Source organism: Homo sapiens, chromosome 3 (assembly GCF_000001405.40).
Source record: "Homo sapiens chromosome 3, GRCh38.p14 Primary Assembly".
Lineage (NCBI taxonomy): Eukaryota > Metazoa > Chordata > Mammalia > Primates > Hominidae > Homo > Homo sapiens.
This window is the reverse complement of record NC_000003.12, coordinates 171,902,462-171,928,235: the sequence shown is the minus strand read 5'-3', so window position 1 is coordinate 171,928,235 and position 25,774 is coordinate 171,902,462. Positions and strand designations below refer to the sequence as shown.

Genomic DNA, 25,774 nt, shown 5'->3' with positions numbered 1-25,774 from the left:
CAGGCCCTGACTTTTGGACTTCCGTGTTCATCTCTGCATTGTCCAATTTTAGCAAGAATTCTGTTGTCAGTTTATCAAGGATCCTCTATTCTCAATAGGTGATGACCCATGATACCTGACTGGGTTCCTCATCCTCCACCATCTCCCAGGTGATATCTAATCATCTCGTCCTGCCTTTAGCAAGATTCCTGTTAGATTGGTTTCAGTCAGAATGTTCCCTTGCCTCTGATGTTTCCTCTTAGTAATTTTCTACCTACTGACCTGCACTCAGCTCCTTGGCTATAAATTCCCACTTTTCCGTGTCATATTCTGATCTGAGCCATATATCTCGTCACTACTACAAAACTCCATTGTATAGCACCTCCCTTGAATAGACGATTCCTTATTGTTCTTTAGCGAGTGACCTGAATAATTTTTTTTCTGTAATATGTTCTCAGTTTGGGTGTTTATAAAGCAGTAAATATTGGTTCTGGGTCTTTTCTGGATTATAGACCCCGTTGAGAACTTAATTAATGGTCACATGATAACATTTGCATATAACTTCATAGACAAACTGCTCAAAGCCCTGTGATGTCTACATGAAGGCCTGTGGACCCCATGATAGACTCTTGATCTAAATTAACTTCTATCCTTGCTCAATATTGACTTATAATGAAATGGCAGGTGAGAGAGACTGGCTCAGAAATTGGACAAGCACTCCCGCTCACATCTTTCAAGTCCATGGTGTTATCGCCACTGTTCTGGACTTGGTTTGGTGAAACCCCTCTAAGGTAAAGGGTTTTAGTGGTGTCCTGACAGGGTGTTTGTTAATTTCCAGTCACTCATTCTTGCCCTGTAGGTGTAATGGACCGCCTAATAGCTAGAAGAAATCATTTGGATTTTCTAGCAAGTGGTCACATATCTCCATCTTCTAACTTTTTACTTAGAAATTTAAGTGGCAATGACTATCAGGAAATTTAAGAATGCAATGATTCCATCAAGAAAGGAAGCATCACTCTTTTTCCAAACACGTGCACAGCCACCACCTCTAGACCCCGTGATGTCCGTGAGGTGATGTGCTCTTCTGCCCCTTTACCTTTTTCATTCTGTAGATGCAGCTCCGTTGGATTCAGGGATCTAATAAAGGAAGGAAGAAGTGTGAGACAAAATTATTTTCCTTCCTTTGCAGGTAAAAGAAATTTTTTTCTGCCTGGCTTTTTACAGGAGTCTTTCTTTTACCTTGAAATTCAGACTTCCATCGGGATATGCCTAGGTGCAGATTTTTCATTTATTATTTTCCTGCTATCTAGAAAGCTATTTTGATCTGCAGATTAAAAGGTATCTTCGGCTTATAATTGATTTCTTTATTTGTGGTCTTAAGTATTGCTTCACTTCCATTTGTTCATTCTCTGTATTCTGCATCACATATCTCTCCAACGGCATCTCTGTCTTATCTGGCTTCCCTTTTTAAAACAAATTTAATTTTTAATTTTTGTGGGTACATAGTAGGTATATATATTTATAGAGTACATGAGATATTTTGATATACATATGCAATGCGTAATAATCATGTCATGGGAAATAGAGACTCCATTACCTCCAACATTTATCCTTTGTGTTGCAAACAGTCCATACTCTTTTAGTTATTTTAATATGCAAAATTAAATTATTATTGACTATAATCACTCTGTTGTGCTATCAAATACTGGATCTTATTTATTAGTTAGATTTTTTTCAAACCCATTAGTCATCTGCACTTTCATCCCACTTCCCTACTACCCTTCTCCAGCCTCTTAGTAACCATCTTTCTACTCTCTATCTGTTTTTAGCTCCTACAAATAAGTGAGAACATGTGAAATTCGTCTTTCTGTGCCTGACTTATTTCACGTAACATAATGACCTCCAGTTTCATCTATGTTATTGCAAATGATAGGATCTCATTCTTTTTTTTTGGGGGGGGGGGTGAGGGAGGGATACATATATATTATCAAAGGATTTAAAAAGACTTTTTAAAATTGTTCATTTCCACAGGTTTTTGGGGAACAGGTGGTATTTAGTTACATGAGTAAGATCCTTAATGGTGATTTGATGCACCCATCACTCTAGCAATATACACTGAACCCAATTTGTAGTCTTTTATCCCTCACTGCCTTCCTACCCTTTCCTGCTGAGTCCCCGAAGTCCATTGTATCATTCTTAGGCCTTTGCAACCTCATAGCTTATCTCCCACTTATGAGTGAGAACATACAATGTTTGGTTTTCCATTCCTGAGTTACTTCACTTAGAATAATAGTCTCTAGTCCCATCCAGGTTGCTGCAAATGCCACTAATTCATTCCTTTTTATAGCTGAGTAGTATTCCATCATATATATATACACCACAGCTTTTTATCCACTTGTTGATTGATGGGCATTTGGGCTGGTTCCACTTTTTCTTTTTTTTTTGAGATGGAGTCTTGCTTTGTCACCAAGGCTGGAGTGCAGTGGCACCATCTTGGTTCACTGCAACCTCCACCTCCCAGGTTCAAGAGATTCTCCTGCCTCAGCCTCCCATGTAGCTGGGACTACAGGCGCCTGCCACCATGCCCAGCTAATTTTTGTATTTTTAATAGAGACAGGGTTTCACCATGTTGGCCAGGCTGGTCTCAAACTCCTGACCTCAGGTGATCCACCTGTCTCGGCTACCCATAGTGCTGGGATTACAGGCATGAGCCACTGTATGTGTCCTTGGTTCCACATTATCGTAATTGTGAATTGTGCTGCTATAGACATGCACGTGCAAGTGTCTTTTTCATATAATGACTTCTTTTCTGCTGGGTAGATACCTAGTAGTGGGATTGCTGGATCAAATGGTAGATCTACTTTTAGTTCTTTAAGGAATCTCCACAATGTTTTCCATAGTGGCTGTACTAGTTTATATTCCCACCAGCAGTGTAGAAGTGTTCCCTTTCCACCGCATCCATGCCAATGTCTATTATTTTTTGATTACTTGATTATGGCCATTTTTGTGGGAGTAAGGTGGTATTGCATTGTGGTTTCAATTTGCTTTTCCCTGATCATTAGTGATATTCAGCATTTTTTCATGTGTTTCTTGGCCATTTGTATATCTTCTTTTGAGAACTGTCTACTCATGTCCTTAGCCTGCTTTTTGATGGGATTGTTTGTTTTTTTCTTGCTAATTTGTTTGAGTTTTGTAGATTCTGGATATTAGTACTTTGTCTGATGTATAGATTGTGAAGATTTTCTCCCATTCTGTGGATTGTTTGTTTATTCTGCTGACTGTTCCTTTTGCTGTGCAAAAGCTCTTCAGTTTAATTAAGCCCCATTTATTTTCGTTTCTGTTGCATTTGCTTTTGGGTTCTTGGCCACAAAATCTTTGCCAAGCCAATGTCTAGAAGAGTTTTTCTGATGTTATCTTCTAGAATTTTTATAGTTTCAGGTCTTAGATTTAAGCCCTTGATCCATCTTGAGTTGATTTTTGTATAAGGTGAGAAATGAAGATCCAGTTTTATTCTTCTACATGTGGCTTGACAATTATCCCAGCACCACTTGTTGAATAGGGTGTCCTTTCCCCACTTTATGTTTTTGTTTTCTTTGTCCAAGATCAGTTGCCTGTAAATATTTGGGTTTATTTCTGGGTTCTCTATTCTGTTCCATTGGTCTATGTGCCTACTTTTATACTAGTACCATGTTGTTTTGGTAACTATGGTTTGATAGTATAGTTTGAAATCAGATAATGTGATGCCTTCAGATTTGTTCTTTTTGCCAAGTCTTGCTTTGGCTGTGCAGGCTTTTTTTGGTTCCATATGAATTTTAGGATTTTTTTTTATAGTTCTGTGAAGAATGATGGTGATATTTTGATGGGAATTGCATTGAATTTGTAGATTGCTTTTGGCAGTATGATCATTTTCACAATATTGATTCTATCCATCCATGAGCATGGGATGTGTTTCCTTTTGTTTGTGTCATCCATGACTTCTTTCAGCAGTACTTTGTAGCTTTCCTTGTATAGGGCAATATACCTCCTTAGTTAGGTATATTCCTAAGTATTTTATTTTTTATTTTTGCAGCTATTATAAAAGGGGTTGAGTTCTTGATATGATTCTCAGCTTGGTCACTGTTGCTGTATAGCAGAGCTACTGATTCGTGTATATTAATTTTGTATCCTGAAACTTTGCTGTATTCATTTATCAGTTTTAGGAGCTTTTTGGAGGAATCTTTAGGGTTTTCTAGGTATACAATCATATCATCAGCAAACAGTAACAGTTTAACTTCCTCTTTACCAATTTCGTTGCCCTTTATTTCTTTCTCTTGTCTGATTGCTCTGGCTAGCACTTCTAGTACTATGTTGAATAGAAATGGTGAGAGTGGGCATCCTCGTCCTGTTCCACTTCTCAGAGGGAATGCTTTCAACTTTTCCCCATTCAGTATTATGCTGGCTGTGGTTTTGTCATAGATGGCTTTTATTACATGAAATATGTCCCCTGTGTGCTGATTTTGCTGAGGATTTTACTCATAAAGGATTTTGTCAAATGCTTTTTCTCCATCTATTGAGATGATCATGTGATTTTTATTTTTAATTCTGTTTATGTGGTGTATCACATTTATTGAGTTACATATGTTAAACCGTCCTTTGATCCTTGGTATGAAACCCACTTGATCATGGTGCATTATCTTTTTGATATGCTGTTGGATTCGGTTAGCTTGTATTTTGTTAAGGATTTTTGCTTCTATGTTCATTAGGGATATTGGTCTGTAGTTTTCTTTTTTTGTTATGTCCTTTCCTGATTTTGGTATTAGAGTGATACTGGTTTTATAGAATGATTTAGGGAGGATTCCCTCTTTTTCTATCTTGTAGAATAGTGTCAATAGGATTGGTAACCAATTATTCTTTGAATGTGGTAGAATTCAGCTGTAAATCCATATGGTCCTGGACTTTTTTTTTGTTGGCAATTTTTTTAATAACTATTTCAATCTCACTGCTTGTTATTGGTCTGTTCAAGATTTCTAATGCTTTCTGATTTAAGCTAGGAGGGTTGTGCCTTTCCAGGAATTTATCCATCTCCTCGAGTTTGTCTAGTTTATGTGCATAAAGGTGTTCATAGTAGCCTTGAATGAACTTTTGTATTTCTGTGGTGTTGGTTGTAAAATCTACTGTTTCATTTCTAATTGAGCTTATTTGGGTCTTCTCTCTTCTTTTCTTGGTTAATCTTGCTAATGGTCTATCAATTTTGCTTATCTTTTCAAAGAACCAGCTTTTCATTTCGTTTATCTTTTGCATGCTTTTTGTTCACTTCAACTTCATTTAATTCTGCTCTGATCTTGGTTATTTCCTTTCTTCTGCTGGGTTTGGGCTTGGTTTGTTTTTGTTTCTCTAGTTCCTTGAGGTGTGACCTTAGATTGTCTGTTTGTGCTCTTTCAGACTTTTTGATGATGTAGGCATTTAAGGCTATGAACTTTCCTCTTAGCACTGTCTTTGCTGTATCCCAGAGGTTTTGATAGGTTGTGTCACTATTATCATTTAAGTTTGAATAGTTTTTTAATTTTCATTTTGATTTCATTGTTGACCCAGTAATCATTCAGGAGCAGGTTATTTAATTTCCATGTATTTGTATTGTTTTGAAGGTTACTTTTGGAGTTGATTTCCAGTTTTATTCCACTCTCTCAGTGGTCTAAGAGAGTACTTGATATAATTTAAATTTTCTTAAATTTATTAAGACTTGTTTCATGGCCTATCATATGGTCTATCCTGGAGAAAATTCCATGCACTGATGAACAGAATGTATATTCTGTGGTTCTTGGGTAGAATGTTCTGTAAATATCTGTTAAGTCCATTTTTTCCAGGGTATAGTTTAAATCCATTGTTTCTTTGTTGACTTTCTTCTTGATAACCTGTCTAGTGCTGTCAGTGGAATATTGAAGTCTTCCACTGTTATTGTGTTGCTGTCTATCTCATTTCCTAGGTCTAGTAGTAATTGTTTTATATATTTTGGAGCTCCAGTGTTAGGTGCATATGTGTTTAGGATTGTGATACTTTCCTATTGGACAAGGCCTTTTATCATTATATAATGTCCCTCTTTGTCTTTTTTAACTGCTGTTGCTTTAAAGTTTGTTTTGTCTGATATAAGAATAGCTCCTGCTTGCTTTTGGTGTCCATTTGCATGGAATGTCTTTTTCCACCCCTTTACCTTAAGTTTATGTGTGATAGGTGAGTCCCTTGAAGGCAGCAGATACTTGGTTGGTGAATTCTTATCCATTCTGCAATTCTGTATCTTTTAAGTGGAGCATTTAGGCCACTTACATTCAATGTTAGTATTGAGATGTGAGTTACTATTCCATTCATTGTGCTATTTGTTGTCTATATACCTTGGGTTTTGTTTGTTTGTTTGTTTTATAGGTCCTGGGAGGTTTGTGCTTTAAAGAGAGTCTATTTCGATGTGTTTCCAGGATTTGTTTCCAGATTTAGAGCTTCTTTTAGCAGTTCTTATAGTGCTGGCTTGGTAGTGGCAACTTCTCTCAGCATTTGTTTGTCTGCAAAAGACTGTATTTATCCTTCATTTATGAAGCTTAGTTTTGCTGGATGCAAAATTCTTGGCTGATAATTATTTTGTTTAAGGAGGCTGAAGATAGGGCCCCAATACCTTCTAGCTTGTAGGGTTTCTACTGAGAAATCTGTTGTTAATCTGATAGGTTTTCCTTTATAGGTTACCTGGTGCTTTTGCCTCACAGCTCTTAAGATTCTTTTCTTTGTCTTGACTTTAGATAACCTGATGACAATATGCCTAGGTGGTGATCTTTTTGTGATGAATTTCCCAGGTGTTCTTTGAGCTTTTTTTTTTTTTTTTTTTTTTTTCCAAGACAGTGTTTCACTCTTGTTGCCCAGGCTGGAGTGCAATGGCACGATCTTGGTCTTTGAGCTTTTTGTATTTGGATGTCTAGGTCTCTAGCAAAGCCAGGGAAGTTTTCCTTGATATTCCCCTAAATATGTTTTCCAAACTTTTAGATTTCTCTTCTTCCTCAGGAATGCCAGTTATTTTTGGGTTTGGTCATTTAACATAATCCCAAACTTCCTGGAGACTTTGTTCATTTTATTTCAGTCTTTTTTCTTTGTCTTTGTTGGATTGAGTTAATTCAAACACCTTGTCTTTGAGTTCTGAAGTTCTTTCTTCTGCTTGTCTGATTCTATTGCTGAGACTTTCCAGAACATTTTGCATTTCTCTAAGGGTGTTCTCTATTTCCTAAAGTTGTGATTGTTTTGTATTTATGCTATCTATTTCACTGAAGATTTCTCCCCTAATTTCTTGTATCATTTTTTTATTTCCTTAAATTGGACTTCACCTTTCTCTGGTGCCTCCTTGATTAGCTTTATAATCAACCTTCAGAATTCTTTTTTTAGGTAAATCAGGGATTTTTTCTGGGTTTGAACCCCTTGCTGGTGAGCTAGTGTGATTTTTGGGGGGTTGTTAAAGAACCTTGTTTTGTCATATTACCAGAATTATTTTTCTGATTCCTTCTAATTTGGGTAGGCTATGTCAGAGGGGAGATCTGGGGCTCAAGGCTGCTATTCAGATTCTATTGTCCCACATTGTGTTCCCTTAATGTCTTCCCTTTTTCCTAGGGATGTGGCTTCCTGAGAGCTGAGCTGTAATGGTTGTTACTTCTTTTCTGGATCTAGTCACCCAGCAGGGCTACCAGGCTCTGAGCTGGTACTGGATGTTGTCTGCACAGAGTGCTGTGATGTGAACTGTCTTCAGGTCTCTCTGCCATGGATACCAGCACAGTATTTGGGTACACAGGAGCAATCCGCTTCCTTCAGAAGGTCTGTCAATTCTCTCGGCTCTCCTGGTATATTCATGCAATAGTTCTGGAGCAAAAGTTCACAATGCAAGTCCCCACATGCTGCTCTGTCCGTCTGAATGGGAGCTGAAATCCAGTCATGCCTCCTATTCACCATTTTCCTTCTTTCAGTTGATCTCATTCTTTTCTATAGCTGAATAGTACTCCATTATGTATATGTACCACATTTTCTTTATCCTTTCATCTGTTGATGGACACTTAGGTTGCTTTCAAATGTTGGCGATTGTGAATAGTGCTGCAGTAAACATCGGGAGTGAAGATATCTCTTTGATATACTAATTTTCTTTCTTTGGGTTTTGTTTTCCCTTTCATTTTTCTTTTTCTTTTTTCTTTTTTTTAGAGGGAGTCTAATCTTGCTTTGTTGCCCAGGCTGGAGTGCAGTGGTGCGATCTGGACTCACTGCAACCTCTGCCTCCTGGGTTCAAATGATTGTCCTGCCTCAGCCTCCCGAGTAGCTAGGATTACAGATGCGCACCACCACACCCAGCTAATTTTTGTATTTTCAGTAGAGACAGGGTTTCACCATGTTGGCCAGGCTGGTCTTGAACTCCTGACCTCGTGATCTGTGCGCCTCAGCCTCCCAAAGTGCTGGGACTACAGGCATGAGCCACTGTGCCCAGCCTTGTTTTCCTTTTCTTATTTACTACAGGAAAATTAATTAAGCTTGTCAACCATATTAATGATTCTGTTTTCTGCCTTGTTAATTCTGTTCTCCACTGCTTCCAGTTCAGCACGCAGTCTCACAATTGCATAGTTATTTTGAAAATGTTCTTTCTTTAGTCACCTGGTTCTCCTTTTAGTCACCTGATTTCCCTTTCTAGCTTAGCTAATTCTTTTCTCAACTCTGCCTGTTACTGATCAATTTATCTTTTATCACTTTTTTCAGAGTGTACATGCATTTTGAAAATTAAGAGCACAATATAGATGCATTTAAAAATTTATGTTTCTAAAGTAGATAGGTTTTTATAGTCTGATCTTCCTCCACCTTTTGCATGCTATGTTTTCTTTCCTTTACACTACAAATTCTCCTGTGGGGTTATGGCAGAATCTGCTAGTTGTCCCTGTGTGTTCCAGCCTCCCTGGTAGCTAGATGTGTTCATAAAACTAAGTTCCAGGGGCTCACGCCTGTAATCCCAACACTTTGGGAGGCTGAGGTGGGCAGATCACTTGAGGTTAGGAATTCGAGACCAGCCTGACCAACATGGTGAAACCCAGTCTCTACTAAAAATACAAAAACTAGCTGGGCATGGTGGTACATGCCTGTAATCCCAGCTACTCAAGAGGCTGAGACAGGAGAGTAGCTTGAACCCGGGAGGCAGAGGTTGCAGTGAGCCAAGATCATGCCACTGCACTCCAGCCTGGGCAACAGAGCGAGACTCTGCCTCAAAACAAAAACCAAACCAAACAAAAACTAAGTTTCAGCCAAAGGGATATAAATAGATATGCTATGTACAACTTCTGAGGAGTGTCTTTAAATAGAAAGAGGAGTGCCTTTTTGCCATATTTTCTTGTAGCTGGAATTCAGATGTAATGACTATAGCTCAAGCAGCCTTCTTCCACAGTGAGGTAGAAACCAAGTGCCAAGGATGGCAGAATAGTAAAATAGAAGCATCCCAGGTCCTTGACACTATTGAGCACTGTAGCAGCTCTCAACTGCCTGCTTTTGAACTTCTTTTAGATGACAGTGAACTAAATTTCATCTTGGTTAAGTTAGTATTATTTTGGGTTTTCTGTCACAGCTAAACCTAGCCCTAGCTATGTGAGAGTTTTCTGTTTATTTATAATTAAGCAATGAAAATTTGTTCTAGTTATCTCCCCCACAAAAGCAGGCGAAGGGATTTTTAAAAACCTCTTCCTTCTTTTTGGGGGAATACTTTTAGGGATCTCTTAAATCTGAAAAGGAGGATTGTGACTAGTTTCTTAATCTAACAACTTCAGGGAGTCAGGACCATGTATAAACCTGGAAAGGCACCTCTTTCCTACATCTCCACCCTTTTTTAGTAAGACTGTAACTTACATATCATAACGTTAAGTGTACGGCTTATTGAATTTTAAAGTATGTATATATTCATATAATCACTATCCAGATATAGAAAGAAAATATTTCCTGCAACCCAACAGGGTCCCTCTTGCCCTTCCCTAGTCAAATCCCCAAGCTCTTCTGACCTCTGTCACTGCAGATTATATGTGACAGCTTTAGACTTCATGTAATTGCAATCAGAATGTACCTGTGCACAGAATGTACCTGTGGCAGTCATAGAGGTGTATTGCTCAGATCTCCTTCAAGAGAGAATCTGTTATAAGAGACTGCAGTTGGTAAACAGTCTCCAAATGTATGAGCTTCAGCATCTGTCTTGGCTTTCGAGACATGACAATGTGCTCTCTGGGTAGCAGCAGTCAATGATTGAGCATGGATATGGTATAAAGACTTCCCATTTCTGGCCAGTGAGTGATTCCTATATGGATAACTTTGTATTGAAGCTTCTCATTGCACTGGAAAAGACTTTCCCAGAGCTGTACTGGAGGCTGAGGCCCTTTCTACCCAATTCTCCATCCTTCACCCTCTAAATGTCAGGCTTAATGGCTTTCCATGTCCACTTATATTCCCAGCAAATCTTTCGCACTTCTAACTCAAATTTGGCATCTGTTTCTTGAAGGACTCAACCATTGTCCTATTTTTTGAGTCTGGTTTCTCTTGCTCAACATTACATTGATGAAATTCATCCATGGTTTTGCATATGCAGGTAGTTTGTTCTTTTTCTCATGTAATCTAAAAATGGTATACTTAGGCCAGGCATGGTGGCTCATGCCTGTAATCCCAGCACTTTGGGAGGTAGAGGTGGGCAGATCACCTGAGGGCAGGAGTTCGAGACCAGCCTGGCCAACATAGTGAAACCCCGTCTCTACTAAAAATACAAAAATCAGCTGGGTGTGGCAGTGTCCGGCTGAGGCACTAGAATCGCTTGAACCCAGGAGGCAGAGGTTGCAATGAGCTGAGATGGTGCCACTGCATTCCAGCCTGGGCGACAAAGTGATACTCTGTCTCAAAAAAAAAAAATACATATATATACACACACACACTAGTTCTACTATTAGTTTTTGACATCATAAATAAAGCACCTGTGACCATGCTTGCACATGTATTTTGATAGATTTAAACACTAGTTTTTGTAGGTTACATACCCAAAAGTGAAATTCTGGGTAATAGATTATACATATGTTTAGTGTTAGTCAAACGTTCTTCCAAAGTTTTTAAAAAATCTGTTTACACTTTTACCAACAATTTTTGAGAATTCCAGTTGCCCTACGTCTTTGTCAACACTTCTTACTGTCAGCTATTTGTCTTTCCCTGTGACTGGTGCTTATTCACTTTTTGGTCAACCATCCATACGCTCTCCACTTCTGTAAAGTGTGTGTGTTAAAGTTTTTTTTTTTTTAACTTATTTTTAAGTGGTTTTTAGTTATAGTCTTACTGATTTGTGGAAATTTTTTATACAGTCTGGGTATGAGTCCGTGGTTGGTTAAATCTATTACAAATATCTTCTCCCAGCCTGTGGCTTGCCTTGTCACCCTCCCCATATTGTCTTTTGATAAACATAAATTCTTCATTTTAATGAAGTTCAATTTTTTTCAATCTTTTATTTTCTGGCTAGTGTTTTTGGTGTCCTATTTAAGAAACTTTGCCTAAACAAAGATCATAAAGACATTATGTTTTCTTCTAGAAGCCTTATTTATTTATGTTTTACATTTAAGTCTATGGTCCATTTCAAATTAATTCTTACATATTATGTGAGGAGGGGTCAATTTTTAAAAAATACATTTATCTAAACTTCATCTTTATAGGGTTTCTTTTCTTTTCTTTTTTGAGATGGAATCTCACTCTGTTGCCCAGGTTGGAGTGCAGTGGCATAATCTTGGCTCACTGCAACCTCTGCCTCCTGGGTTGGAGCAATTCTCCTGCCTCAACCTCCTGATGTACGCCATCACGCCTGGCTAATTTTTGTATTTTTAGTAGAGACAGGGTTTTGCCATGTTGGCCAGGCTGGTCTTGAACTTCTGACCTCAGGTGATCCACCCACCTCGGCCTCCCAGAGTGCTGGGATTACAGGCGTGAGCCACCGCACCTGGCCTATAGGGTTTCTTTTTGTATTTGGTGAAAGTGCTGGGCTAGTTGATAGATTTTGTGGTGAGCTTCCTATCTAGGGCTTCTGAGGGCCCCCAGGCTCATTTCTGGCATGTGATATAGCTGCCCTGACCCTACTTCCCAGGTGAGGTCTCTAGCCAGGTGCCCACTGCCTCATCAAAGAACACTGCTGTCAGCGATGGCCTGCTACGTGGGGTAGCCACTTAGGCCTTGCCTTCAGGGCCTGCTCCACAGAGACTGTGAAAAATCTCCAAAGCTTTGGGAAATCATCCAATATTACAGCTATTGCCACCACGCATGGGCTTTCTGCTTGAAATATTTACCACTGTTTTCCAACTCTAATACCATCAAACTCTCACCATTTTCAAGAGCTGAAAGAATCACTGACGGAGTCCTGCTGTCGGCCTCCAGGCCTCATCCCTCCAGGTCAAGCTGCTCCTTTGGTGATGGCAAATTGGCCTTTGTTGTCCTTCTTTAATCAGGTCCAAACTGCACAGGATTTAAAAGAAATTCTTTGAAGTTTCTGGCATTTATATGGCTTCCTTCCCTAGCTTCCAGTACTGATTTAAGGTTTTACATATTTTAAATTTTCCAGGTCATTTTGGATGGAACTGGGAGGCAGGTGGTTCAAATATGTGCCCTCAGCCTCCAATATTTCCCTTAAAATGTAGTAAGATGTGTTTTACTTTAAGCCTTATGAGAATTGTGAAGAGAACAATGCTCTGTTAGTTCTAGGAGAAAAGATTTATTATTAATAGTAAACATTATTCATTAATATTTTCAATTAGTACTTAATACTCATTTATTTACATACTTATTATATATTTCACTCTAGACTTTTTTCTTTTTTCTACGTTTGAAATGTAGTTGAGATCTTGCTGTACTGTATCAAATTTTATGTTGCTTGTAAAACTTGTTATTGTAAAGTAAACATTTCTCCATGCTACTGATAATTTTTCTTTTAAATATGTGTTATAACCCAGTTTTTAAAAGTCTTCTTGTATATGAATACATATCTGCATGTGTTTGTATAGACAAAGGAAAAATTATGGAAAGATATGCATCAGATTGGAAAGAGTCAGGGATATGGATCTAGAATAGGAGAGGGAAAGTATTACTTTCCGTTCACGAACTTCTATGTTGTTTAAATTGTTACCACAAAATGCTTTTTAATATAAAAATGCTCTCAATTTCTTGAGTTAATTTCTCAATTTCTTGAGTTAATTCAATTTCTTGAATTAATTTTTAAATTCAATGGCTACATCGTATTTTATTACCCATTCCATTATGTTGCATGTTTAGGTAGTTTCTATTTTTTTTCATGACTTAAATGTCTTTATTCTTAAAACTACACACACACACACACACACACACACACCACACACACAACTGTTTAGTTTTCTTAGAATTTATTCTTGGAAGTAGAATCATTCCAGTGAGAACATTACAAGCCAAATGCTTAATCATTTTCCAAAATAATTTTTCACTTTTTATTTTACTAGCAGAGCATATAATTACCCATCTGTTTAAATTATAATTATATTTGGTAGTTTATAATAGAAAACTAGAACCAACAGTGGCTCAAATACCTAACGACAAAATTTCATATACAATGCACAAAAAGCCCTTCACAAAATTGTGAAGTCCAGAGGTAGCAATACAAGGGGATATGGCGTCCTTTGAAATCAGTGGACACCCAGCTTCTCTTTGTCTTTTCTCATGGACACCATGCTTCCATCCTCAAGGCCACAATATGATTGTTGAATACATATCTGCATGTGTTTGTATAGACAAAGGAAAAATTATGGAAAGATATGCACCAGATTGGTGCGTATCTAACCATTGCATCCCCATTCCAGGCGGCTGGAAGGAGAAACAGGGATACAGAAAGAGGAATACCTACTATCTGAGCCTAGTTTCTTAAAGAACCGTATTTGGCGGTCCAGTAACATTGACTTTTCAGTGGTTTTATCTTAGTCACATGGACACACCTAGGTACAAGACAGGCTAGAAAATATACCTTCTGGTAGAGTACATTACTGCTTCAAATAAAAAAAGGATTATGTTACTCAGTAAAAAGAGGAGATGGACTTTATACAGAAAACTAACATGTTCTGCCACACTCCAGTGGCTACCATCCTGCTCTCATCATAATTACGTTTTCTGGTTTTAATTGGAGCTATTGTTTATCATTAGTGAGCTTTTGTATTTATCTACCTATATACCACAAGCAGAATTCTCCAGAAAGCAGATTCTGAGATAGAGATATGTAAACAGAAAAGTCCCTGGGACCAATACTTGTGGGGCAAGGAATAAGCAGGACTGGACAACAGAGGACAGAGGAAAAAGTTGGGCTGAGGGGCAGTCTCAACAAGTGTCTCAACTAAACTATAGGGAACTCTGAAGCTGGGATGTCTCTTCAGAATTGTTCCAAGTTTGACTAAGGGGGTCAGACTTTTATACCCCGCATTGGCCAGTCACTGGATGAAGTTCGACTGGGTAAAGGAAGCATGCCAAGGCAATTCCTGAAGCTGGGGGAGTAAGTTATTCAGTCCAGAAGGGTAACCTAGGTGGGGAAATTTTATTTCCTTTTGTGATTTGTCTGTTTATTTCCTTTGCTCATTATTACAACAACATTAGACTTTTAAAAGCCAATTTAAAACTTCAGTGTAAGGGCAGGCATGGGGCTCACGCCTGTATTCCTCACACTTTGGGAGGCCAAGGTGGACTGATCACCTGAGGTCAGGAGTTTGAGACCAGCCTGGCCAACATGGTGAAACCCCGTCTCTATTAAAAATAGAAAAATTAGGGCTGGGCGCGGTGGCTCACGCCTGTAATCCCAGCACTTTGGGAGGCCGAGGTGGGCGGATCACGAGGTCAGGAGATCGAGACCACGGTGAAACCCTGCCTCTACTAAAAATACAAAAAATTAGCTGGGGGGGGTGGCCGGCGCCTGTACTCCCAGCTACTTGGGAGGCTGAGGCAGGAGAATGGCGTGAACCCGGGAGGCGGAGCTTGCAGTGAGCAGAGATCGCGCCACTGCACTCCAGCCTGGGCGACAGAGCGAGACCCCGTCTCAAAAAAAAAAAAAAAGAAAAAAAAAAAGAAAAATTAGCTGGGTGCGGTGGCGTGCACCTGTAATTCCAGCTACTTGGGAGGCTGAGGCAGAAGAATCACTTGAACCCAGGAGGCAGAGGTTGCAGAGAGGCAAGATCGTGCCACTGCACTCCAGCCTGTATAACAGAGCGAGACTACGAATCAAAAAAAAAAAAAAATTTTCAGTGTTTCTTTTGTTTAAATATTTTGTTATTATCTGTTCATTAAAATTAGACATTCAAGAATCTCCTATCCAGATTTCACACATTACCATTAATGGTATATTTGCTTCAAATCTCTGTGATCCTCTCTTTTTAAAAAAAACCCCAAATCTTTACCTACACAGCTGAAGTCTCACCTCCGATACTTTCTCACTCTCTCCCCCTCTAGAAATGGCTTTTATTTTATTTGTAGCCTTCCCATACATGTTTTTATACTTTTAGCACAAATATGTGGCCAGCGATTAATTTTTACAACTTAATAGGTTATTAACATTTTAATACATAAATAATTTGATATCTTTTTTTCTTTTTTGAGAAAGAGTCTCACTCTGTCACCCAGGCCGGAGTGCAGTGGCACGATCTCGGCTCACTGCAGTCTCCGCCTCCTGGGTTCAAGTGATTCTCCTGCCTCAGCCTCTCCAGTAGCTGGGATTACAGGTGCATACCCCGACACCTGGCTAATTTTTTATCTTTAGTAGAGATAGGGTTCCACCATGTTGGCCAGGCTGGTCTCAAACTCCTGACCTCGGGTGATCCGTCTGCCTCGGCCCGCCAAAGTGTTGGGATTACAGGGGTGAGCCACTGCACCCGGCCAATATGATATCTTTTAATGAGAATTCAAAATAAATAGAACATTATATTTATAAATATTATGCCTAAATCTTCTTGCAAATCATAATAAAAAGATATCTCTTCACAAAGCTGCCTTTGTTTATTGCATTCTTATTGTTATCCATGTCTCTTTTTATTGGAAAATATTAAAAATCTTCACTTGGCAGAAGCACCAAAAGGAGTGGAAGAAATCACTTTACAAGTCCATGAACAAATCATATTCATCCCCTTCCACAATAATTCTTCTCAGTCAGACCAAGAGAAATTGGAATGAGGTGAAGTTCTGGGAGCACAAATTGCTCTGTATTTGTTAAAAAACAATGCCAAGTCTATGCCAAGGAAAAAAGAGACAATATTCAAATTACTAAAATCAGGAATGAAAAGGGGGACATTAATGTTGACTTTACATAAGTATAAAGGGATTGTAACAGAATACATTGAACACCCTTATGCCACCAAATTAGATAACCTAGATGAAATCAACAAATTCATAGAAAGACACACTTACCAAAATTGACCCAAAGAGAAATAGAAAATCTAAATAGATGTATAACAAGCAAAGAGATTGAATTAGTAATAAAAAATTTCCTCCCAAAACGTCTCAGGGCCAAATGGCTTCACTGATAAATTCTACCAGATGTTTAAGGAGTTAACACAAATCATTCACAAACTCTTTCAAAAAGTAGAGGAGAAGGGAACACTTCCCAATTCATTCTATGAGGCTGACTCTACCCTGAAACCAAAACTAGGCAAAGACATCACAAGGAGAAAAGGACATACATATCTTTTATGTATACAGATGCAAACATCCTCAACGATATACTAACAAACAAAACCCAGCAACATTTGAAAAGATGATACATCATGACTAAGTAGGTTTTATCCTACGGGTCCAAGTTTGGCTCAACCTGTGAAAAGCAATTACTATAATATACAATATTAATAGAAAAATTCAGATAATCATCACAATATCGCATAAAAGTGTTTAATAAAAATACCACACATTTCATAATAAAAACCAGGAAAGGATGGGAACTTCTTCAACCTTACAAAGGACTTCTACAAAATATCCAAAGCTAACATTATATTTAATGATGAAAGACTAAAAGCTTTCTTCCTAAGATCAAGAAGAAGATAAAGATATCTGTTTTTGCCATTTCTATTCAGCATGGTACTTGAGGTTGTAACCAGAGCAATTAAGCAAGAAAAAGAAGGAAAAGAAGGCATTCAGATTAGAAAAGAAGTAAATCCATTTCTAATTGCAGATGATCTTGTATGTAGAAAATTCTACAGGATCCCCAAAAACCTATTAGTATTAATATTAGTAGTAATAAACAAGCAATGTTGTAGACAGAGGATCAATATACAAAAATCAACTGTATTTTTACACACTGGCAATGGACAAAATGAAATGAAACGGAAATAACTCAGAAACAAAGTTAACAAAAAACTGCAAGAGTTACATACTGAAAACTACAGAACATTCTGAAAAAAAAAACTTTAAAAAATCTAAATAAATAGAAAGATATCCCTGTTCCTAGATTGAAAACTTAACATTGTTATAGTAATATCTCCAAATTGATGTACAAATTCAGAGCAATGTCTTTCAAATTCTCAGCACTCTATCTCTCTTTTTAAGGAAAAGCTGTGTGGTACTGGCATTAGGGTAAACATATAGATCAATGGTATAGGGCTGAAGATTTAGAAATAAACTCATATTTATGGTCAATTGATTTTTGGCTAGAGTGTCAAGATTATTCAATGGGGGAAAGATACGTCTTTTCAATAAATCGTGCTGGTGCAACTAGAAATTCATACGCAAAAGAATAAAGTTGGATTCCTAACCTTACACCATATAAAAATTAACTAAAAATAAATTAAAGATCTAAATGTAAAAGCCAAAACTCTTTAAAAACATAGATATAAAGCCAAAAGTGGTGGTGTATGCCTGTAGTCCCAGCTACTCATGAGATAAGCCAGGAGGATCACTTGAGGCCAAGAGTTTGAGGCTGCAGGACACTTTGATGCTTACACCTGTGAACAGCTACTGTACACCAATCTGAGCAAAATAGCAAGACCTTGTCAAAAAAGAAAGAAAGAAGGAAAGAAAGAAAGAAAGAAAAGAAGAAAGAAAAAAATAAGAAGACATAGGTGTAAATCTTTGTGACCTTTGATCAGGCAATGTTTCTTAGATATAATACCATAAGCATGAACAACCCTGCCCCCTACCCCCAAAAGGCAAGTTGAACTTAATCAAAATAAAAACTCTTGTGCTCTAAAGGACATTATTAAGAAAGTAAGGTTGGGTGTGGTGGCTCACACCTGTAATCCCAGTGCTCTGGGAGATGGAGGTGGGAAGATAGCTTAAGTCCAGGAGTTCAAGTCCAGCCTGGGCAATATAGTGAGACCCTGTCTCTGAAAGAAAACAAAAAAAATTAACCAGGCATGGTGGCACACCTGTCATCCTAGCTACTCAGGAGACTGAGGCAGGAGGATTGCTTGAACCCAGGAATTCAAGGCTGCAATGAGCTACGATGGCACCACTGTACTCCAACCTGGGTGACAGAGCAAGAACCTGTCTCTAAAATAATAATAATAACAATAAAAGTTTCAAAAAAGAAAATGAGAAGACAACATACAGAATGGAAAAAATATTTGCAAATCATATATCTGATAAGAGTCCAGTGTCCAGAATATATACAGAACTCTTACAACTCAACAATAAGACAAATAGCCCAATTTAAAAATAAGCACAACATCTGAATGGATACTTCTCCACAGAAGATATGTAAATGGCCAATAAAATGTGAAGATGCTCATTAGCCTATCAGAGAAATGTAAATCAAACCCTTAATGATATACCACTTTACAAAAGCTATTTGATAGCTATAATAAAAAAGAAAGATACCAGTAAACCTTGGTAAGAATGTGGGGAAACTGGAACCCTCATACCCTGCTGGTGCGACTTTAAAATGGTGCAGCTGCTTTGGAAAATAGTTTGAAAATTCCTTAAATGGTTAAACATAGAGTTAAAATATGATCCAGTAATTCTACTTCTAGGTAAATACCCAAGAGAAATGAAACATATGTTCACCCAGAAACTTGTACACAAATGTTTACAGCAGTATTATTCATAACAGCCCCAAATTGGAAGCAACACAAATGTCCACCAACTGATTAATGGATAAACAAAATTGATATATTCATACAGTGGAATATCACTCAGTCATAAAAAGGAATGAAGTACTCATAAATGGCTGAGCTTTGAAAACATTATGGTAAGTGAAAGAAGCCAGTCATAAAAGACCACATGTTGTGTGATTTCATTTGTATAATATATCTAAAGTAGGCAAATCCCTAGAGATTGAAAGTAGCTTAGTGTTTGCCAGGGGCTTACGGTAGAAGGGGTGGAGAGTGACTGCTTTTAGGGGTATGGAGTTTCTTTTTGGATCATGAAACTGTTCTGGAATCAGATAATAATGATGGTTGCATAACTTTGGGAATATGCTAAAAACCACTGAATTTTACATTTTAAAAAGATAAATCTTATGGAATGTGAATTATATCGGAATTCAGACATAGTAGACTCCCTTTATCCTCAGGAGATGTTTCAAGACCCCCAGTGCATGCCTGAAACTGCAGATAGTACTGAACCCTATATATGCTATGCTTTTTCCTATGCATACATACACACCTATGAGAAAGTTTAATTTATAAATTAGACATAGTAAGAAATTAACAGGAATAACTTAATAATGAAAATAGAATAATAACAATATACTGTAATAAAAGTTATGTGAATGTAGTTTTTCTCTCTCAAAATATTGTATGTAATATTTTTGGACTGTGGTTGAATGTGGGTAACTAAAACACAGAAAGGGAAACTGGATAAGGAGGGAGTATTGTAAAAGCAAGCATCTAGCATCTAGGTGTTGTGAAAGGCATTCAGGAACATTCTTTCCACAAGAAGCAGTCTTGTAATGCTCTATCCAATAGAATCCCAATTTTATTTAAAAATGGCATAGGAAAAATTAAAACTAGGATATAGTAAACAATGCTCACCTCTAGACAATTAATCGTTTCATTTGTCCTTTTTTACATTTATTCTTTAAATAGGTCAAGCTTAGATTACACGTCATGTAAAGAAATAGGAAAATAAAAATAAAAACAAAACAATTCCTAAATGTCATTGCTAGGAGCTTTTGCTAGCTCGTGGGAAGGGCAGTGGTAAGTAAATGTTTCACAGACCTTATTCCACTTAGAGACAAATGGTGCAATAGAAATCCCTACCTAAAAATTCAAGTTGGCCTAAGTCTAAACCTGTACATTCAAAGTGTCTGCCAGTATTTTTGTGTAGTTAAGGGTAAAGATCAAGGGTGAATGGGTTTTCTGTTTGAGCAGGACTTGTGATGGGCAGTGTCTTTGTCCCTAGCAAAACCTTCGGCCATAGTTTGGAAGTTGGAGATTGAAGAAAGGAAAAGAAGAATGGCATTAGGTAATCATGTAAAGGTCTACTTTCAGGGTTTATTTTAGGATAAGTCTTTGTAGATTGTCAGAGCTGTTAGGAAGATTTTTCCATTTAATGTGATTTAGTTTAGACAGTATGATCTTTAAGAACTATTTGTCTTTCGGAAGTATGTGGGTGTGTGTTTTACCCACAGGGTACTGGAGTCAAGATCAGACGATCTAAGTATATTCAGAAAGAGAATGAAGAGTCCTATTGAGAGGTGACAACGTGCTAGCAGCCCTTGCTCGCTCTCGGCACCTCCTCATGCCACGGCCTCCACTCTGGCTGCGCTTGAGGAGCCCTTTGGCCCGCCGCCGCACTGTGGGAGCCCCTCTCTGGGCTGGCCAAGGCTGGAGCCGGCTCCCCCTGCTTGCAGGGAGGTGTGGAGGGAGAGGCGCCGGCGGGAACCGGGGCTGCCTGCCGCACTCGCAGGCCAGCTCCAGTTAGGGGTGGGCGCAGGCTCAGTGGGCCCCGCACTCAGAGCTGCTGGTGGGCAGTGAGAGGCTTAGCACCCAGGCCAGCAGCTGCAAAGGGTGCGCCAGATCTCCCAGCAGTGCTGGCCTGCCGGTGCCACGCTCGAATTCTCGCAGGCCTCAGCTGCCTCCCCACAGGGCAGGGCTCGGGACCTGCAGCCCTGCAGCCCGCCATACCGGGGCCTCCCCCCACAGCCCCCCATAGGCTCCCACGCTGCCTGAGCCTCCCGGATGGGTGCTGCCCCCTGCTCTGCGGCGCCTGGTCCCATCTACCGCCCAAGGGTTGAGGAGTGTGGGCACACTGTGCAGGACTGGCGGGCAGCTCCACCCACGGCCCTGGCACAGGATCCACTAGGGGAAGCCAGCTGGGCTCCTGAGTCAGGTGGGGACTTGGAGAACTTTTATGTCTAGCCAGAGGATTGTATATGCACCAATCAGCACTGTGTGTCTAGCTCTGGGGGCATTCGTGGATGCACCAATCAGCACTCTGTATCTAGCTAATCTGGTAGGGACTTGGAGAACTTCTATGTCTAGCTGGAGGATTGTAAATGCACCAATCAGCACTCTGTGTCTAGCTCAAGGTTTGTAAATACACCAGTCAGCACCCTGTCAAAACGGATCAATCAGCTCTCTGTAAAACGGACCAATCGGCAGGATGTGGGTGGGGTCAGATAAGGGAATAAAAGCAGGCTGCCCTAGCCAGCAGCAGCAACCCACTCTGGTCCCCTTCCACCTGTGGTAGCTTTGTTCTTTCACTCTTTGTAATAAATCTTGCCGCTGCTCACTCTTTGGGTCCGCACTGTGTTTATGAGCAGTAACACTCACCACTAAGGTCTGCAGTTTCACTCCTGAGGCCAGCAAGACCACGAACCCACCGGGAGGAATGAACAATTCTGGAGGGGAGGAACAAACAACTCCAGATGCGCCGCCTTAAGAGCTGTAACTCTCACCGCGAAGGTTTGCAGCTTCACTCCTGAAGCCAGTGAGACCACGAACCCAACAGAAGGAAGAAACTCCGAACATGTCCGAACATCAGAAGGAACGAATTCCAGACACACTATCTTTAAGAACTGTAACACTCACCGCGAAGGTCCGTGGCTTCATTCTTGAAGTCAGTGAGACCAAGAACCCACCAATTCCAGACACAATGTCTCCACTTGACCCTGGCAGAGGGACCTTGAAAATTTTGGGAACTGGGTCACCAAAGGCCACTCTGGATGCACTTGTAATCTAGAGTGAATAGAAAATTCTATAATTGCTATTCTAGATAAAATTACTCAGATTTGAGAACTGGATTCCTTTTAGTTATTGTGTCCTATGGATTGTTCTGGTTGTTGAGACGAATTCTAGGGCAAGGCATGCCATTGTCGTGGTGAGGAAGTTGGGGTTTAAGTGAATGAAGATTCTCATTGTGAAGAATTGAAATATGACCCTGACTAGGAGAGGAAGGGACTAGAGGAGTCGTTCCAAGCCAAAAAAGCCAGCCCAGGCCGGGCGCTGTGGCTCACACCTGTAATCCTAGCACTTTGGGAGGCTGAGGCAGGTGGATCATGAGGTCAGGAGATCGAGACCATCCTGGCTAACATGGTGAAACCCCGTCTCTACTAAAAATACAAAAAATTAGCTGGGAGTGGTGGCGGGTGCCTGTAGTCCCAGCTATTCAGGAGGCTGAGGCAGGAGAATGGCATGAACTTGGGAGGCGTAGCTTGCAGTGAGCTGAGATCACGCCACTGCACTCCAGCGTGGCAGCAAAGCTTTTGTCTTCATTTTTATTTTTGAGTGGATAATAAACACATTGAGTACAAAATTTAAAAGCTACACAAAGCATATACTGTGAAAGGAAGCCATGCTCACTTCCCGCCTCCTCCAGCCACGAGTTCTCCCTAGAAGCAATCATTGATACCAGCTCCACAGGCATCTTTCCAGAGATACTTTCTCTAACCAACATCAAACCTTGAGTATAGATGTTACACCCAACAGCCTCATGTCAATGGTGCTCTGAGGAACTGAGGGGTGAGACAATGAAGGAAAGTGCAGCCTGCCCAGCCTATGCACTCCTCTGGAGCCAGCCTGGTAGTCCCAGTATGGTTTAGGGTGGGGGGCAGGTAGTTGTCTAGGAGTCTGAGGTAGTACCAAGCACCAGGGTAGGAGGGAAGCCTTCATCCTGCTCTTATAAGAATGAAGCTGAGCCACTTGGCAAACATGTGGATCAAATCAAGAACCACTACACTCACCACGAACACATACAATAGGCATTTTTAAGCTGTTAGAGCCACATAATTATTTTTTCCTACGACCTTTGACTTCTGTTGGATCGCTCTGTGCTCTTCCAGACTTCTTTCACCTCTTTCTCTAGGCTTCACCTCTGCCCCCTTATTAAGTCAACATGTGTACTTCCTGCATTACTGTGTCATTTATCTCTATCCCAAGAAGTATGTAGTTTTAGTAGAAAAGAGAGTTCTCATTTAACTCTCTAATGACACAATTTTGTGACTATTTAAAGCAAGTCATTTAGCCTTTCTGAACCTTAATTCTCACATCTGTAAAACTGATGACTACTTACATATTTCCCCGGCTTGCTAAGTAAAGCAATTATAAAATACTCATCAATGTGAAAAATAAGGTAGAAAGGTTCTGTTCTCCATGCTTCAAAAACCTTTGCTGCTAAGAAAGCTGCCAATACCTGCTTTGGGCATTGTGGGTGCTGCAGACTAGGAGCTCCAAGGCATGTTCCCAATGCAGAACCACCAGTCCCAGAGAAGATACACTATGGGAGATTCTGCTGGTCTTACAAGAGAGGTGGAAGTCTAGAAGAACCTCTTTATTCCAAAGAGAGAAAGAAAAAAAAAGGAGATAAATTAGTACAGCCATTATGGAAAACAGTGTGGCAGTTCCTCAAAAAACTAAAACCAGAACTACCACATGATCTAACAATCCCACTACCAGATATATCCAAAGAAAATGAAATCAGTATGTCTAAGAGATATCTTTACTCCCATGTGTAGCACAGCACTATTTGCAATAACCAAGTTATGAAAACAACCGAAATGGCCATCATGTATATAATTGATATAGTTTGGGTCTGTGTCCCTGTTCAAATCTCATGTCAAATTGTAATCCCCAATGTTGGAGGTGGGGCCTGGTGGGAGGTGATTTGTTCAGGGGCCGATTTCCCCCTCGATGTTGCTTTCATGATAGTGAGTGCTTGTGAGATTTGGTTGTTTAAAAGTGTATGGCACCTCCCCCATCTCTCTTTTCCTTCTGCTCCAACCATGTAAGACATGCCTGCTTCTTCTTCACCTTCCACCATGCTTGTTAATTTTCCTGGGGCCTCTCCAGCCATGCTTCCTGTACAGCCTGCAGAACTGCAAGCCAATTAAACCTCTTTTCTTTATAAATTACCCAGTCTCAGGTATTGATAGCATGCAAGAATGGACTAATGCAATAATGGAATATTATTCAACCATAGAAAAGAATGAAATCCTGTCATATGTGGCAACATGGGTGAGCCTGGAGGACACTAAGTGAAAGAATCCAGGCACAGAAAGATAAATACCATAAATATCACATGTTCTCATTCATCTGTAGAAGTTCAAAAATTTGATCTCATAGAAGTAGAATAGTGGTAACTAGAGGCTGGAAACTAGTGGCTGGGAGGGGAGATAGGGAGAGGTTGGTTAATAGGCATAAAATTATAGGTAGACAACAGGATTAAGTTCTAGTGTTCTATTGCACTGTAGGGTGACTATAGTTAACAATAATTTATTGCATACGTTCAGGTAGCTAGAAGAGAGGTTTTTTTTTTTGAGATAGAGTTTCGTTCTTGTTGCTCAGGCTGAAGTGCAGTGGTGCAACCTTGGCTCACTGCAACCTCCGCCTCCTGGGTTCAAGCAATTCTCCTGCTTCAGCCTCCCGAGCAGTTGGCATTACAGGCACACACCACGATGCCCAGCTAATTTTTGTATTTTTAGTAAAGACAAGGTTTCACCATGTTGGACAGGCTGGTCTCAAACTCCTGACCTCAGGTGATCCACCTGCCTCGGCCTTCCAAAGTGCTGGGATTACAGGCGTAAGTCACCACGCCCGGCCTAGTAAAGAGGATTTTGGATGCTCCCAACATGGAGAAATAATCAATTTTGAGGTGATGGATATGCTAATTACTCTGATTTGATCATTACATATTGTATACAAGTATTGAAATATCACTCAGTACCCCATATATATGTACAGTTTTATGTCAATTAAAAATAAGAATAATAATAAAAGAAAATGGGGGAAAAGAGCTGAGGCCTTGAGGAGCAGGCCACTGGGAGGAGCAGAGCTGTCTTGGGGTGGCTGCTGGTGGAAACTGAGATTTGGATCTGGTCTGAGGTGGGGATGTACAGCCGAGGATTCTGCACTGAGGCAATGGCAGCAAATGATTCACAATAGCCTGAGAACACCTTTCCTGGATTAACTGTGTAAGTTTCAAATCAAGGAACAAAAGTGGAAATCAAATCTCTACATCTGTAAATCACAATTTTATGTACTGCATAAATAACTTTTTATTATTTTCTTTTTGTTTTAAATGTTCTATAGTGTTTGTATACTCAGAAAAAAATGACTTTAAAAAAATTTGAAAATGAAAGAAATATAATAGCCCTAAACATAGAAATGGTAATATAATGATGGCACTTTAGGAATCATCAGAAAAGATACAATTAAGACTGAAAATCAATAGGAAAAATGGTATAATGATACCAAAAAACAAGTGTGTGTATATATTGTATAATTAAAACTATATAAAATATATACAAAAAAACTAGAAGGGAATGTATGAAAACATTGATAGTTGTGTTCTGAAGGTTTTAAAAATGTTTGAGCAATTTTTAAAATTTTCCCCAATT

The 25,774-nt window shown here is 39.4% G+C and overlaps 1 long non-coding RNA gene across 1 annotated transcript in view; it reads right to left on the bottom strand.

Annotated features, from left to right (window-relative positions):
- LOC105374218 (uncharacterized) overlaps positions 1-25,774 on the bottom strand; it is a 38,180-nt gene that overhangs the window by 10,408 nt on the left and 1,998 nt on the right. The window contains exons 2-3 of the long non-coding RNA XR_924719.2: positions 12,339-12,468; positions 1,076-1,116 (exon numbers count right to left, since the gene is read on the bottom strand). This is a non-coding gene — a long non-coding RNA (uncharacterized LOC105374218). The remainder of the gene's footprint in view (positions 1-1,075; positions 1,117-12,338; positions 12,469-25,774) is intronic.